General features: G+C 45.4%; 1 long non-coding RNA gene and 1 pseudogene across 1 annotated transcript; one reads left to right on the forward strand and one right to left on the reverse strand.

The window, feature by feature from the left end:
• The first annotated feature begins 3,390 nt into the window (after positions 1-3,390).
• On the forward strand, positions 3,391-7,245 carry LOC107987038 (uncharacterized). The gene is made up of 2 exons (XR_001746582.2): positions 3,391-3,827; positions 7,132-7,245. It is a non-coding gene; the product is annotated as an uncharacterized LOC107987038 (long non-coding RNA).
• RN7SL159P (RNA, 7SL, cytoplasmic 159, pseudogene) lies at positions 8,553-8,844 on the reverse strand (annotated as a pseudogene).

Consider the following 16,148-nt stretch of genomic DNA (forward strand, 5'->3'; position numbering starts at 1 on the left):
GGCTGAGTACCCCTCTGTGCAATGCCGAAGACTTATTTCAGCCAATCCACTCATGTGGAACACAGAGGTGGTTTCCAAGTTGTGATATTACAAACACTGCCAATAAATTATATTTATTGATAGAATCATTAATAGCTAAAACCCTGGCCATAGCACAGATATTTTCTTGGAGTGAATATTAAGGAGCTTCCCTGAGTTCTCGGCCTCCCCACCACTGGCTCCCCTTCTCCTCAGAACATTCTGGAGCGGGCCAGTCACGGTAGCTCACGCCTGTAATCCCAGCACTTTGGGAGGCTGAGGCAGGTGGATAACGTGAGGTGAGGAGTTCGAGACTAGCCTGGCCAACATGGTGAAACCCTGTTTGTAAAACTACAAAATTAGCCGGGTGTGGTGGTGGGCGTCTGTAATCTCAGCTATTCCGGAGGCTGAGGCAGGACAATCGCTTGAACCCGGGAGGCCGAGGTTGCAGTGAGCCGAAATCGTACCATTGCCCTCCAGCCTTGGCAAAAAGAGTGAAACTCTGTCTCAAAAAAAAAAAAAAAAAAAGAACATTCTGGAGGGGTAGGGACCATCTTCACCCCTCTTCCGTGGATGCAGAAACTGAGACTAGGGGCAGGGATTACATTCTCCCAAGGTCCCCCAAACCGTGGCCTAACCAGGCCCTTTCCTTTCCATCCTCTCCCTGCCCCTTGCCCTGCATAGGCGTTTTTCTGTTTTGTTTTTTGTTTTGTCTGGAATGTCGGCCCCTGCCTGGAGGGTGCGCACAACAGCTTCCTGTCTGCCTGGTCCCTGACCAGAGGGACCAGTTTGTCTGGGTGACAGACGAGGCATGACAGCACATGTGTGGCTGGGCCAGCTGGGACAGCATCACTCTACTGTGCAAACCTCCAGGGGACCAGGAGTGGGGCTCCGAGGAGGTGGGTAGGACATGGTAGAAGAGTGAGAGGGGCCTCCAGGTCATGGGGGAGTGGGGCTCGGGCCCAGGGGTGCAGAGGGGGCTGTGAAGGACATCAACGGGGAAGCTCTTGGCTTCCTGGTGCCCGTGGCAGGAAACGCAGCCATGTGAGCGTGAATCCTTTTGGGGGAAGCCCTTGGCGAGGAACAGAATGCAGTGATGGCAGCAGATTCTATTAAAAGCAATTCTCATTACGGTACCATTAATTATTAATAGGATTGGGCAAATAAAAGATGGGAAGACCCAGCTGGGCCTGACTCAAACTTTGCCTCCGAAGCAAATGGCTTTTGGTTCCCATCCAGGAGCCCCAGCCATGAACGTGCCTGTTGGAAAAGTAATGGCAACCCAGAGGCTGCCATGGTGGGACGGGCACCACTTATGTCTGCTTAAAAAACATAAAGACTTTTTAATCTTTTTATAATAATATATATATTATTATATATTATAATATCTATATATATATAGAGAGAGAATATATAAATATATATATTTATTATATATATATTTATTATATATATATATTTATTATATATATAAATATATATATATTTATTATATATATCATATAAATATAATAAATACTGGCACGGTGGCTCACACCTGTAATCCCAACACTTTGAGAGGCTGAAGCGGGAGGATTGCTTGAGGCCAGGAGTTTGAGACCAGCCCGGGTAACACAGCCAAATCCCATCTCTACCAAAAAACAAACAAACAAACAAAAAAACAAAAACAAACAAACAAGAAAACCCAGACATTAGCTGGGCACAGTGGCTCAGGCTTGTCATCCCAGCTACTCAGGAGGCTGAGGCGGGAGGACCACTTGACCCCAGGAGTTCAAGGCTGAAATGAGTTGTGATTGCGCCACTGCACTCCAGCCTGGGCAACAGAGCAAAATCTTGTCCAAAAAAAAAAGGAAAGAAAAGGAAGAAAAGGAGGCTACCCGAGAAAAGGCACCTGGAGGAGTGCAGGGGACTGTGTCTGCTCTCAGAGCTTGGCTTTTAGGCCCAGATGGCCTGGTTGTCCTTCCCATTAGGAAACATCCGTCTGCTCGCCTGGCTAGGCACTGCAGACCTCATTCTCCTCAGAGCACCTTCCCGCCCCAGGGGCTGTCAAGCCTCTAAAGAGATCCAGAGAGGCCAGGCGCAGTGGCTCACACCTATAATCCTATCGCTTTAGGAGGCTGAGGCAGGTGGATCACTTGAGGTCAGGAGTTCAAGACCAGCCTGGGTAACACGGTAAAACCCTGTCTCTACTAAAAATACAAAAAAAAAAAGCCAGGCATGGTGGTGCATGCCTGCAGGCCCAGCTACTCGGGAGGCTGAGCCAGAAGGATGGCTTGAACCCGGGAGGAGGAGGTTGCAGTGAGCTGAGATCACGCCACTGAACTCCAACCTGGGCGACAGAGTGAGACCCTGTCTCAAAAAAAAAAAAAAAAAAAAGAGAGATCTAGAGAGAACTTTCTCCATGTAGCAGCAGAAGCCATGGTGAGAACAAAGTCAATGAAGAATGTCAGGCTTGGGCTGAGGAGGCCCCAGAGAGAGAGAAGCTGCCCCTCTTTCCTGCCCCCACCCTGCCTTGTCTTTACTGAACTCCTAACCACCCTTTGAAGCCCGGCTTCTATGACCTCTTCTCCAGGCAGTGCTGCTTGGTCTCAGCTGGGGCAGCCACTGAGTACACAGACGCTGTCCCTGCTCTTGCGGAGCTGCCAGTCTAGCAGGTGACTAGCAGGGTTATATTAAAAAAACCCTTGGCCGGGTGTGGTGGCTTATGCCTGTAATCCCAGCACTTTGGGAGGCTGAGGCGGGTGGATCACGAGGCCAGGAGATCGAGACCATCCTGGCTAACATGGTGAAACCCCGTCTCTACTAAAAATACAAAAAATTAGCCAGGCGCGGTGGCGGGCGCCTGTAGTCCCAGCTACTTGGGAGGCTGGGGCAGGAGAATGGCGTGAACCCGGGAGGCGGAGCTTGCACTGAGTGGAGATCACGGCACTGCACTCTAGCCTGGGCGACAGAGTGAAACTCTGTCTCAAAACAAAACAAAAAAACCCACCACAAGCCGTGATGACAAGTGGAGATGATGCTCTAAAGCCAGGAGATGGAAGCCACACACGATCAGGACAGGAATCTCAGATCTGTTTCTTCCCCAGAACCTGGAGCAAAGCAGGTGCTCAAGAAATGTGTGTGACCAGGCGCGGTGGCACACACCTACAATCGCAACTGCTTGGGAGGCTGAGACAGGAGGATCGCTTGAGCCCAGGAGGTCAAGGTTGCAGTGAGCCGTGATGACACCACTGCACTCCAGCCTGGGCGACATAGTGAGACTCAGGAAAAAAAAAAAAAAGAAAGAAAAGGCAAGACAGACTGACAGAGAAAAAGAAATATGTACAACGGCACGAGACCGAGGCTTCCGAGATGGAGAGACCTCTGGGGAAATAGGTTTTTCACAGCAGAGGGAAGAAGGGCCGGGACCTGAGCCTGCCCCCACTCCTTCGTCCTTCCAAAATTCCCCTGGATTATTGGCTGATTTATTTCCCAATATCCCCTATGAGGCAGAGCGGTGAAGGCTTCCTTTTCTGGGACTAAATGAATATGGGGATGAATACGTCTGGGTCAACAAACACACAAAAACCAACAGCTAGGAACTTGTGGATTTCAGGATAAAATGACATCTATGGAGAAACGCCTGATACAGCCGTTCTTATTTTTCCACTAAATACCCAGGAAGGCAGAGAAAAAGATGAAACCTCAGTTGGTTTGGAAACAGAGATGGCTGCCAAACTCATACCAGAAGCTGGGAGGAGTTTCTACTAATGATCACGGCAGAGGACAATGTTGGAGAGAAACTTGTGACTCAGGGACCAGGGATGAAGGTAGGAAAGTCCCCAGGATCTTTCCCATAATTTGCTCCCATTCAGAGACCTGGAAGCTGTATTTTTAGTAGAGACAGGGTTTCACCACGTTGACCAGGCTGGTCTTGAACTCCTGACCTCAAGTGATCTGCCCACCTCGGCCTCCCAAAGTTCTGGGATTATAGGTGTGAGCCACCATGCCCGTCCAACAGTAATTTCTGAAAGGAGCTGCAGAAGATGTCAGAAAACTGTGGCAGGCCAGGTGCGGTGGCTCACGCCTATAATCCCCGACAAAACCCTGTCTCTATTAAAAATACAAAAACTAGCCAGGCATGGTGGTGGGCGCCTGTAATCCCAGCTACTCGGGAGGCTGAGGCGGAGAATTGCTTGAACCTGGGAGGTGGAGGTTGCAGTGAGCTGAGATCATGCCACTGCACTCCAGCCTGGGCGACAGACTGAGACTCCATCTCAGAAAAAAAAAAAAAAGAAAACCGAAGGACATAAAGAGGTTAAAAATACAAAAGACTGGACAAAGGCATATGAGGCAAATTCAAGTTCAATAAAAGCAAAGGTAATAATATTTATATCAGATAAAGAATCACAGGCAAAAATCATGAGATGGGACGCGAGGTCCTTTGAATTGGTAGAGGGGACAAGCCGCAGGAAATATCTGATTGTCATGATACTTTATGTCCTACACAGCACTGGCTCCAACCAGAGAGAGTGATATCTTAGACACACATACACGGTCAAAGAAAAAACTGTGGTGCGAGGAGGAGTCTTTAACACATGTCTGTCTTTGACATATTTAGTCTTTTTTTTGAGACAGAGTCTCACTCTGTCGCCCAGGCTGGAGTGCAGTGGTGCGATCTCAGCTCACTGCAACCTCTGCCTCCTGGGTTCAAGGGATCCTCCTGCCTCAGTCTCCTGAGTAGCTGGGACTACAGGCGTGTACCGCTACGCCCGGCTAGTTTTTGTATTTTTGGTGGAGATGGGTTTTGCCACGTTGGCCAGGCTGGTCTCGAACTCCTGGCTTCTTCATATGATCTGCCCATCTCAGCCTCCCAAAGTGCTGGGATTATAGGCGTGGGTCACCGCACCCAGCCTCTTTTACATATTTAAAGAGTACCTCCCCAACAATTAATGTAGGATCGGAATAATATAATGAATAAGATTGATTTAATAATTGAACTTAGTACCCTACAAATAAAAGGTACTCATTTCTTTGCCAGAGTCCATCAAACATTTATAAAAATTGATCATATATTAGGCCACAAAGAAAAACTCAATAGAACCCCCAAAGCAGATATAGTGAGAGCTTCATTCTTTAACCACAGTGCAATTAAGCTAGAAATTATTAACAAAAGTTTAAATTAAAAAGCCAACCATTTGAAAATTAAAAACCACTTTCGTAAATAACTTTAAATAAAACCTACATGACAAACTGTTACACTGCAAATACCACATATCCAAACATATGGGAAAATGGCTCAAATGTTACAAGGAGGAAATTCATACTCAGTGTTATGAACTTCTTAAATAAGAAATTATGAAAGTCAATAAATTAAGATTCAACTGGAGAAATTAGAAAAAAGAACAAAATAAAGCTAAGGAAAGGAGAAAGAAGGAATCGATAAAGATAAAAAGAAGAATCTAATATATTAGAAAAGAGAAAAACGCTAGAAATAAAAATAATTACATGACTTGGTGTTTTGAAAGTCTAATAAATTAGGTAAACTTCTAGCAGATGGAAAGAAAATAAGCAGAGAGAAACAAATGCATGACAATAAAGGCAAAAAAGGAAATTCTAAAAATTAAATTATAATAAGCAAAGTTAGAATAATAAATGTGGAAATGTGAACAAATAGATATTTTAATAAGAAAATACATATAACCAAAACTGATTCCACAAGTAGGAGAAAACCAAAAAAACCTATTACTGCAGGATAAATTGGAAAGGTAGGGCTGGGCTTGGTGGCTTATTCCTGTAATCCCTATATTTTGAGAGGCCAAGGTGGGAGGATCCCTTGAGTCCAGGAGTTCGAGACCAACCTGGGCAACATAGTGAGATCCCATTTCTACAAAAAATGAACAAAATTAGCCAGGTGTGATGGTGCACACCTGTAGTCCCAGCTACTCTGGAAGCTGAGGTGGGAGAATTGCTTGAGCCCGGGAGGTCGAGGCCGCAGTGAGCTGAGATTGCACCACTGCACTCCACTCTGGACGGCCTGGGTAACAGAGCAAGACTCTGTCTCAAAATAAAATAATTAAATAATTTTTTAAAAAAGAAAAAGAAAAGAATAGGTAGAGAAAGAGCTACTTCCTAGACTTCCTAGGGAAGTGTTGGGTCCTGACACTTTTACTAGTAAGTTCTTTCAAATACTCCGTTTTGGGACACAGGAAAGATGGAAAGCCTCTCCAACCATCTTAAGAATATAGTGGCCGGGCGTTGGTGGCTCACGCCTGTAATCCCAGCACTTTGGGAGGCTGAGGGTTGTGGATCACCTGAGGTCAGGAGTTTGAGACCAGCCTGGGCAACTTGGCAAAACCCCGTCCCTACAAAAAAAAATACAAAAATTAGCCAGGCGTGGTGGTGCGCGCCTGTAGTCCCAGCTACTTGGGAGGCGGAGGCACTCAAACCCAGGAGGTGGATGTTGCAGTGAGCTGAGAGATCACCACTGCACTCCAGCCTGGGCAACAGAGCAAGACTCTGCCTCAAACAACAACAACAACAGAATGTAGTATAACCCTAAAAGGTTGGCAGATAACACAAAACTACAGACCAGTCTTGCTTAGGAACATGATACAAGTCCTTAATAAAATACCCGCAAATTACCCTGATTGAGACTCTTTGGGTCACAAGTAAGAGAAATCTACTCAAATGAGTTCAGAAAAGGGGAAAATTCATTATGAGGATTCAGAGACCACCCCTCCCCCCGCCCCAGAATTAAAGAAGGAAACAACTGCACAGCCAGACTCCAACGGCAACAGAAGCCCCCAGTGCCTGTGAATGCACAACTTCACCTCATCTTTAGCCTCTGCTGCTACCAATCAGACTGCCAAGGCCTAATGACTCCTCAAGTTGACTTTTAGGGTCTTTCGGGGTCCCAAGTGTAAGATTCCCATGACTGTGGCAACATCTGTGTGTTCGCCAACCTTTCCATTCCTCCTTCCAGGCTGGGCCCACACTTCCCATGGGGGTTAGGCAGGGCCGTGTGACTTGCTTTATCCAATAAAATGTGAGTGGAAGTAACACATGCCACTTCTAGGTAGAAACATTGAATTGCCAGTATGAGAGTCTCCAACTCTTCTTCCCTTGCCTCAGCAAGCATGAGACCACCTGCTACGCAGAAGGACCATGCCGACCACATCACAGCTGTCTGCCTGGAGCCACAGGCGACTTGGTATGAGCAGGAAATAAACTTCTCTCAAGCTGTGAGGTTTTGACATTATTTGTTACTGCAGCACAATCTAGCTTATCCTGAATAATTCAATGACAAAGAACATCTATCTCAGGCCAAGAGTCAACATCTCATTTAACATTAAAATACTGGAAGCAGCCGGGTGCGGTGGCTCACACCTGTAATCCCAGCACTTTGGGAGGCTGAGGCGGGCGGATCATGAGATCAAGAGATCATCAACATAGTGAGACCCCCATCTCCACTAAAAATACAAAAATTAGCTGGGCTTGGTGGCGCATGCCTGTAGTCCCAGCTACTCGGGAGGCTGAGGCAGAAGAATTGCTTGAACCAGGTAGGCGGAGGTTGCAGTGAGCCAAGGTTGCGCCACTGTACTCCAGCCTGGGCGACAGAGCGAGACTCTGTCTCAAAATAAATAAATAAATAAATAATAACATAAAATTTAAAAAGTACTGGAAGCATTCTTAGCAATGTCTTGAACGTGGCAAGGATGCTTTATATATGCTCTATAATGCTATATTGCTGTGAAAGTTCTGGACAATGCAATAAGACAAGAAACACAAATTAAAGGACAGCCACTAAAAAGGAGACAAATTATCCTTACTTGTGGATATTATAATTGTCCACTTGAAAATCCAAGGGAAGCAAATGAAAAACTATTAAATAATGAAAGCATTCTACCAAAGTAGCCAGTTGTAAAATCAACATACAAAACACCCACAGCTTTCCCCTCTCCCTCCCTCCTCTTTTTTGCTATCAGATTGATTGTGTTTCTTTATTTCTCACCTTTTCCCTTTATTGGTTTGAAAGTTACACATTCCTTTTATGCCTTTTAGAGATTATCTTTAGGTTTTTATCATGCATAAAATTTTTTAATAATCTTCAGCTGGGCACAGTGGCTCACACCTGTAATCCCAGCACTTTGGGAGGCCTAGGCAGGCAGATCGCCAGAGGTCAGGAGTTGAAGACCAGCCTGACAAACATGGAGCAACCCCATCTCTACTAAAAACACAAAAAATTAGCCGGGCATGGTGGTGGATGCCTGTAATCCCAGCTACTCAGGAGCCTGAGGCAGAAGAATCGCTTGAGCCTGGGAGGTGGAGGTTGCAGTGAGTCGAGATCATACCATTGCACTCCAACTTGGGCAACCAGAGCAAAACTCCGTCTAAAAAAAAAAAAATTGACTTATAATCAAAATCACTATTTTTCACCCTCCTGCTAGATAGTACAAGATCTTGGAGTGATTTGACTCCAGTGACACCTTCCAAACACTATATTATGATTGCCTAATATTTAGTTCCACCTTTTCTTTATTTTTTATTTTTTTAGAAACAGGGCCTTGCTATGTTGCCCAGGCTGGAGTGCAATAGCTATTCATAGGCTGCACCCCAATACTGATTAGCACAGGAATTTTTACCTGCTCTGTTTCCAACCTGGGCCAGTTCACCCCTCTTTGGGTAACCTGGTGGCCTCCTGGCAGGTCGTCATATTGATGCAGAGCTTAGCACCAGCACCCAACTGGCATAGTCAACTTCAGCCCAGAGCTCCTGGCCTCAAATGATCCTCCTGCTCCGCCTCCTGAGGAGCTGGGACTACAGGCATGTGCTACTGTGCCCGGCAGTTCCACCTTGTTTTAATCCACCACTGGTAATTATGATTGTTGATTTTACGGCCAGCTCTTATTTAGATTTTACCCATGTTTCCATATCTCCATTCATTGCTTCTTGCAGAATGTGCTTGGTACAGGGCTTGATTCCCTTCTTCCTTAGGTCATCTTTTACTAGCTCTTTCAGCAAAGAGCTGTGAGTGGTAAAGTTCCTCAGTCTTTGTCTGAAATGTCTTTATTTTGCCCTTGCCCTTGAAAGACAGTTGAGCTGAAAGACAGTTTTGGTTGACAAATATTTTCCTTCGTCCTCTTGAAGAGATGATAATTACATTTTTGTCCTCTGTCATTGCTGATGGGCTTCGCTGTTTCTTTGTGGGCTTCGTGCCAGTGGTGAAGGCATGTGTCCTGGACTCCTGAGCTGCCTGGGTCCAAGTCCTGGCCCTGCCATTCATCATTTTGTGAATTTGTGCCTGGTTATCTACAGTCACAATTCTGCAATTTGGATTGGGCTCAGCTGGGCAGCTCTTCTGCTAGTCTTGCCTGGGGTCTTTCACATGGCTGCTCTCACCTGCGGTTTGAATGATATATTCGTTTGCTAGGGCTGCCTTAACAAGATACCACAGGCTGGGTGGGTTAAAAACAGAAAGCTGCTGGGCACGGTGGCTCACACCCGTAATCCCAGCACTTTGGGAGGCTGAGGCAAGAAGACCGCTTGAGCCCAGGAGTTTGAGACCAGCCTGGGCAACATGGTGAAACCCAGTCTCTATAAAAATACAAAATAAAACCTAGCCAGGAGTGGGGGCATGCACCTGTGGTCCCAGCTACTCAAGAGGCTGAGGTGGGAGAATCACTTGAGCCCCAGGAGGTGGAGGTTGCCATGAGCCGTGATCGTACCACTGCACTGCAGTCTGGGCGATAGAGCAAGACTCTGTCTCAATATAAATAAAATAAATAAATAAATAAATAAATAACAGAAAGGTATTTTCTCACAATTCTAGACGATAGAAGTCCCAGGTCAAGATATTGGCACAGTTGGTTTCTTCTCTCCTTGGCTTACAGATGCCCCTTTCTTTCAGCATCTGCACACAGTGCTTGCCTGTGTGCTAATCTCTCTTTTTTTTTTTTTTTTTGAGATGGAGTCTTGCTCTGTTGCCCAGGCTGGAGTGCAGTGGTGCCATCTCGGCTCACTGCAAGCTCTGCCTCCCGGGTTTACACCATTCTCCTGCCTCAGCCTCCCAAGTAGCTGGGACTACAGGCACCCGCCACCACGCCCAGCTAATTTTTTGTATTTTTTAGTAGAGACGGGGTTTCACCGTGTTAGCCAGGATGGTCTCGATCTGACCTTGTCCTCGTGATTCAACCGCCTCTGTCTCCCAAAGTGCTGGGATTACAGGAGTGAGCCACTGCACCTGGCCCTAATATTAGTCACATTAGCTTAGGGCCCACCTATATGACCTCGTTTTACCTTAATTATGTCTTTAAAAGCCCTCTATCGGCCGGGCATGGTGGCTCACGCCTGTAATCCCAGCACTTCGGGAGACCAAGGCGGGTGGATCACAAGGTCAGGAGATTGAGACCATCCTGGCTAATACGGTGAAACTCCATCTCTACCAAAAATACAAAAAAATAGCCAGGCATGGTGGCACGCGTCTGTAATACCAGCTACTTGGGAGGCTGAGGCAGGAGAATCACTTGAACCTGGGAGGCAGAGGTTGCAGTGAGCCGAGATCACGCCACTGCACTCCAGCCTGGGCGACAGAGCGAGACTCCGTCTCAAAAAAAAAAAAAAAAAAAAAAGGCCCTCGATCCTAATAAAATCACATTCTGAAGTAGTGGGGTTAGGACTTCAACATGTGAATTTGTGGCAAGGCAGGGGGGCAGGAAATGATGTAATTCAGCCCATAACACCTGGGGTGGAGGGTTCTAGATGAACTCACTGCTATGCCTGGCAGGTGGTGTTGGCCATCTAATGGGTGGTTCCCTTCCAACAGAATCTACACTAGGCTTCTTTTTATTTTTTATTTTTTGAGATAGGGTCTCACTCTGTTGCCCAGGCTGGAGTGTGGTGGCACAATCACAGTTCACTGCAACCTTTGCCTCTAGGGCTCAAGTGATTCTCCCGCCTCAGCCTCCCAAGTAGCTGGGACCACAGGTGTATGCCACCAGGTTTGACTGATTATTTTATTTTATTTTTAGTAGAGACGATGTCTTGCCACGTTGCCCAGGCTGGTCTTGAACTCCTGGACTCAAGCAATCCACCTGCCTTGACCTCCCAAAGTGCTTGGATTACAAGTGTGAGCCACTGTGCCCTGCCTACACTGGGCTTCTTGTCGTGTAATTGTTTGTTCTAAGATAGCAAAGGTAGAAGTCTTGCAGCTTCTTAAGGCCTGGCTTTGAAAGAGGCATAACATCATCTCTGCTACCCTCCATTGGTGAGATCTCAAGGCCATTCCAGATTCAAAAGGGGTTGAAAAGGACTCAGCTTCTCACTCTGTGGCAAGAGTATCCTCTTAAGGGGAGGAGTAGCAAAGTCATAGGGAAGTGTGATTTTTGTTTTGTTTTGTTTTTGTTTTTGAGACAGAATCTTGCTTTGTCGCCTAGGCTGGAGTGCAGTGGTGCGACCTTGGCTCACTGCAATCTCCGCCTCCCGGGTTCAAGTGATTCTCCTGCCTCAGCCTCCCAAGTAGCTGGGACTACAGGCACCCACAACCATGCCCAGCTAATTTTTGTATTTTTAGTACAGATGGGGTTTCACCAAATTGGCCAAGCTGGTCTCAAACTCCTGACCTTGTGATCCGCCCACCTCGGCCTCCCAAAATGCTGGGATTACAGGCATGAGCCATTGCGCCTGGCCGATTTTTTTTTTTTCTTTTTCAGACAGGATCTCATTCTGTTGGCTCAGGCTAGAGTGTAGTGGTGCAATACAGATCCCTACAGCCTCGACCTTCTGGGCTCAAGCAATCCTCCCACTTCAGCCTCCCAAGTAGCTGGGACCACAGGCGTATGTCACCACACCCTGCTAATTTTTGTACTTTCTGTAGAAATGGGGTTTCATCATGTTGCCTAGGCTGGTCTCGAACTCCTGAGCTCAAGCAGTCTGCCTGCCTCGGCCGCACAAAGCGTTGGGATTACAGGTATGAGCTACCACGCCTGGCCAAATTCTTCAGGGGTCATTATTGTAACAAAAATTAAGTAGCATTAACTAATAAAGATTACTTAAGCTTTTTGTCGCTTGATTTTTTCATCTTTAAAATGTGGATAATAACATTAATAGTTGGCTGGGTGCGGTGGCTTAAGCCTGTAATCCCAGCACTATGGGAGGCTGAAGCAGGTGGATCACTTGAGGTCAGGAGTTCAAGACCAGCCTGGCCAACATGGCGAAACCCTATCTCTACAAAAAATACAAAAACTAGCCGGGCCTGGTGGTGCGTGCCACCAGTGGTCCCAGCTACTTGGGAGGAGGTGGAAGGATCACCTGAACCTGGGTGGTCAAGGCTGTGGTGAGCTGTGATCATGCCACTGCACTCCAGCCTGGGTGATAGAGTGAGACCCTGTCTCAATAAATAAAATAAAATAAAAATAACACTAATAGTGTTGTTTTGAGGACTTAAAGAGTCAATGTACTCAGAACACCATTATATGTCTTTATTATGGATGCTGTTAGATAATCTCTTCTTCTTTTCTGGTTTAAGTCATTTTCTTTGTCTTTAGGATTACATATTTGGTATAGATAATTGGGTTTGGTTCACTATTATTTATCCTTCTTGTGGTTGATGCATTTTTTTTTTTTTTTGCGCCACTGCTCTTGGCTGACTTTTTAATTTTTTGTAGAGACGAGGTCTCACTATGTTGCCAGGACTGGTCTCAAACTCTTGGGCTCAAGCTATCTTCCCACCTCATCCTCCCAAAGTATTGGGATTACAGGTGTGAGCCACCGTGCCCAGCCTGATGCACTTCTTAAATTTGAGGAATTGTGTCTTTCATCAATTCTGGAATATTCTCAGACATTATCATGCTGAATATGATCTCTTTTCCATCCTCCTTATAATCTATCTCTTTCCAGGTCTTCTCTAAGCCATATGTTGGACTCTTTTATTCTTTTCAATGTGTTTCTATTTTTATTATTTATCTCTTTATCTTTGTTTCTTTAAAAAAATTTTTTTAGAGGCAGCATCTCACTCTGTTGCCCAGGTGGGAGTGCAGTGGTGTGATCACAGCTCACTGTAACCTTGAACTCCTGGGCTCAAGCAATCCTCCTGCCTCAAGCCTCCCCAGTAGCTAGGACTAAAGGCATGTGCCACCACACCCAGCTAATTTTTAAAATTTTTTTGTAGAGACAGGGAGTCTTGCTATGTTGCCCAGGTTGGTCTCAAATTCCTGGTCTCAAGTGATCCTCCTGCCTTGACTTCCCAAAGTGCTGGTATTATAGGCATGAGTCACTCCATCTGGCCCTCTTTATCTTTGTGGGCTACATTCTGGGTAATTTCCTCAGTTCTGTCTTTCAGTTCATGAACACTTCTTCAGCTGCGTCTTATCTGCTATTTAACCAAGGCATTGAAATTTATTTTCAGTGGCTACGGTTTTCCTTTCAAGAAGATCTTTGTTTTTCCTTCAACTTTGCCTCTTATTTTTGTTTGTGTTGTTTTCTTTTCTTTTGTTTTCTATTTTTGAGACAAGGTCTGGCTCTATCACCCAGGCTAGAGTGCAGTGGCGTGATCTCGGGTCACTGCAACCTCTGCCTCTCAGGCTCAAGCCATCCTCCCAACTCAGACCCCTGAGTGGCCGCTGGGACTACAGGCGCTCACCACCATGCCTGGCTAATTTTTATACTTTTCATAGAGACAGGGTTTCGTCATGTTGGCCAGGCTGGTCTTGAACTCCTGACCTCAAATGATTCGCCTGCCTTGGCCTCCCAAAGTGCTGGAATTATAGGCGTGAGCCACTAGGGCTGGCTGCCTCTTTTTTCATGGTGTCTTTTCATTTTCTTATTTTTTTTCTTTTAATAATTTAAAGCACACTTCTTTTGTAGTCTCTTTCGGAGTGTGCTCTTATCCCAATTTCTTGGTGGTCTAATCCTCTTCTTGTTTTGTCTGCTGACACTCCCTGTTGAGGATCAGTTCATTTTGCGGTTTGCATTTTTAGCTGTGAGCTCCTGTTCAGCGAGGATCTTGCTTTTTGTTGGGTTCTCAGCTACAGAATGGCTTCTTGCTCCAGTTGCCTCCTCCCAAACTCCAGTACTGGGTGATCTCCCATTTTTTCTTTCAAGATCAATTTTTTTTTGTTGTTGTTGTTAAATTTTGTCCATATTCCTCAGCAGGAGCAGTGTCAACATTAGCTCAGTCTGCTAGGTTAGGTTAGTCAAATTTAATAGATGATAAAGACATCATTTAAAATCAGTAGGGAAAAGATGAGCTATTTATTAAATGGTATTAAGACAACTGTTCAATATCTGGGGGCGGAGGGAGGCTGTTAGCCTTAACATACACCATAACTAAAATAAATTGCAGACAAAACGAAAACTTAAATATAAAAGTGGAACTATAAAAGTGCTAGATGAAAAGAATGTGATGGGAAAGGCCTGTTTAATTATTCAACGGATGGTAAAATCCTCCTGAAGCTTTGCTACGAAAAAGTTTGAAAGTTATGTACATGGAAGAACTACGAAAAAAAGCCCTAAAAAGTAAGTGACCAATTAAGAAGATATTTACAAGAGATGATAAAGGCTCAATATCCTGCATCTACAAAGAGCTCTCACATATCCATTAGAAGACAGTGAATACCTAATAGGGACATATGCAAAGGACATGAATTAGTAATTCACAAAATAAGAAATAAAAAAAGCCAACAAGCATATGAGAGTAGGTTCATCTTCACTAACAACAAAAGAAATACATGTTAAAACAAGTTATCCTTTTACCCTATCAAATTGGCCAAAAATTTCAAAAAGATTAAAATATCCTGTGTGGTGAAGGAAAAGGGGTTCTACAGAATCCCTCTTCCCTTGGTCTCAAACTCCTGACCTCAAGCAATCCTCCCATCTTGGCCTCCCAAAGTGCTGGGATTATAAGCAGGAGCCACCGCGCCTGCTGTCTTATTTGGAAAAAGGTACATTTTGTCAATGTAATTAAGGTAAGAATTATTTATTTATTTATTTATTTTGAGATGGAGTTTTGCTCTTTTTGCCCAGGCTGGAGTGCAATGGCGCGATCTCGGCTCACTGCAACCTTCACCTCCTGGGCTTAAATGATTCTCGTGCCTCAGCCTCCTGAGTAGCTGGGACTATAGGCGTGCGCCACCACATCCGGCTAATTTTTTGTACTTTTAGTAGAGATGGAGTTTCACCATGTTGGCTAGGCTGATCTCAAACTCCTGACCTCAGGTGATCCACCCGCCTCAGCCTCCCCAAGTGCTGGGATTATAGGCGTGAGCCACCACTCCCAGCCAGGATTTTTTTTTTTTTTTTTTGAGTCAGGTTCTCACTCTGTCATCCAGGCTGGAGTGCAGTGATACAATCATAGCTCACTGCAGCCTCAAACTCCAGGACCAAAGCAATCCTCCCACTTCAGCCTCCTGAGTAGCTGGGAAAGCAGGTGTGTGCCACTATGTCCAGCTAATTTTTCTATTTTTTGTAGAGATGGGGGGTGTCACTGTGTTGTCCAGGCTGTTCTCAAACTCCTGAGCTCTAGCAATCCTCCCACCTCTGCCTCTCAAAGTGCTGGGATTACAGGTGTCAGCCACCTTGCCTGGCCAAGTTAAAGATCTTGAAATGAGGAGGTTATCCTGGAATAAGACACTTGGGGAGAAGACAGACAGACAGATAGAGGAGGAGACTGGAGTGATGAGTCCACCAGTCAGGAATACCAGCCCTGAGAAAAGCTGGAAAATGCAAAGAAGCATTCTTCCCTCTAATCTTGGGAGGGAATGCAGCCTTGATGACAGCTCGATGTTGGGCTTTGAGCCTCCAGAGCTGTGAGAGAATGAATTTCTGTTGTTTTAAGCCATCGAGTGCGTGGTCATTTGTCTGACAGCCCTAGGAAGCCAATACAGAGTGTCATCGGGACATTTTGGAGGGTAATTTGGCAGAATGTAGCACAGGCCCTAAAACGTGCATCTCTTTCCTTCTAGAAATTTCTCAAGATTAATAATTGAGAATTTGTCAAAGATCCCTTAGCAAGGACATTCACCGCAGCCTTCTTCTTTAAAGGAAGTTGAGTAAACAACCTATATGTTCAATAATAGGATGGATTGAATAAACAATTGTTTAGCTGTATAATGATAAAGATTAAAAATAATCATAGCCACAGCCAATAGTGTGCT

The sequence above is a fragment of the Homo sapiens genome, chromosome 9 (assembly GCF_000001405.40).
Source record: "Homo sapiens chromosome 9, GRCh38.p14 Primary Assembly".
Taxonomy (NCBI): domain Eukaryota; kingdom Metazoa; phylum Chordata; class Mammalia; order Primates; family Hominidae; genus Homo; species Homo sapiens.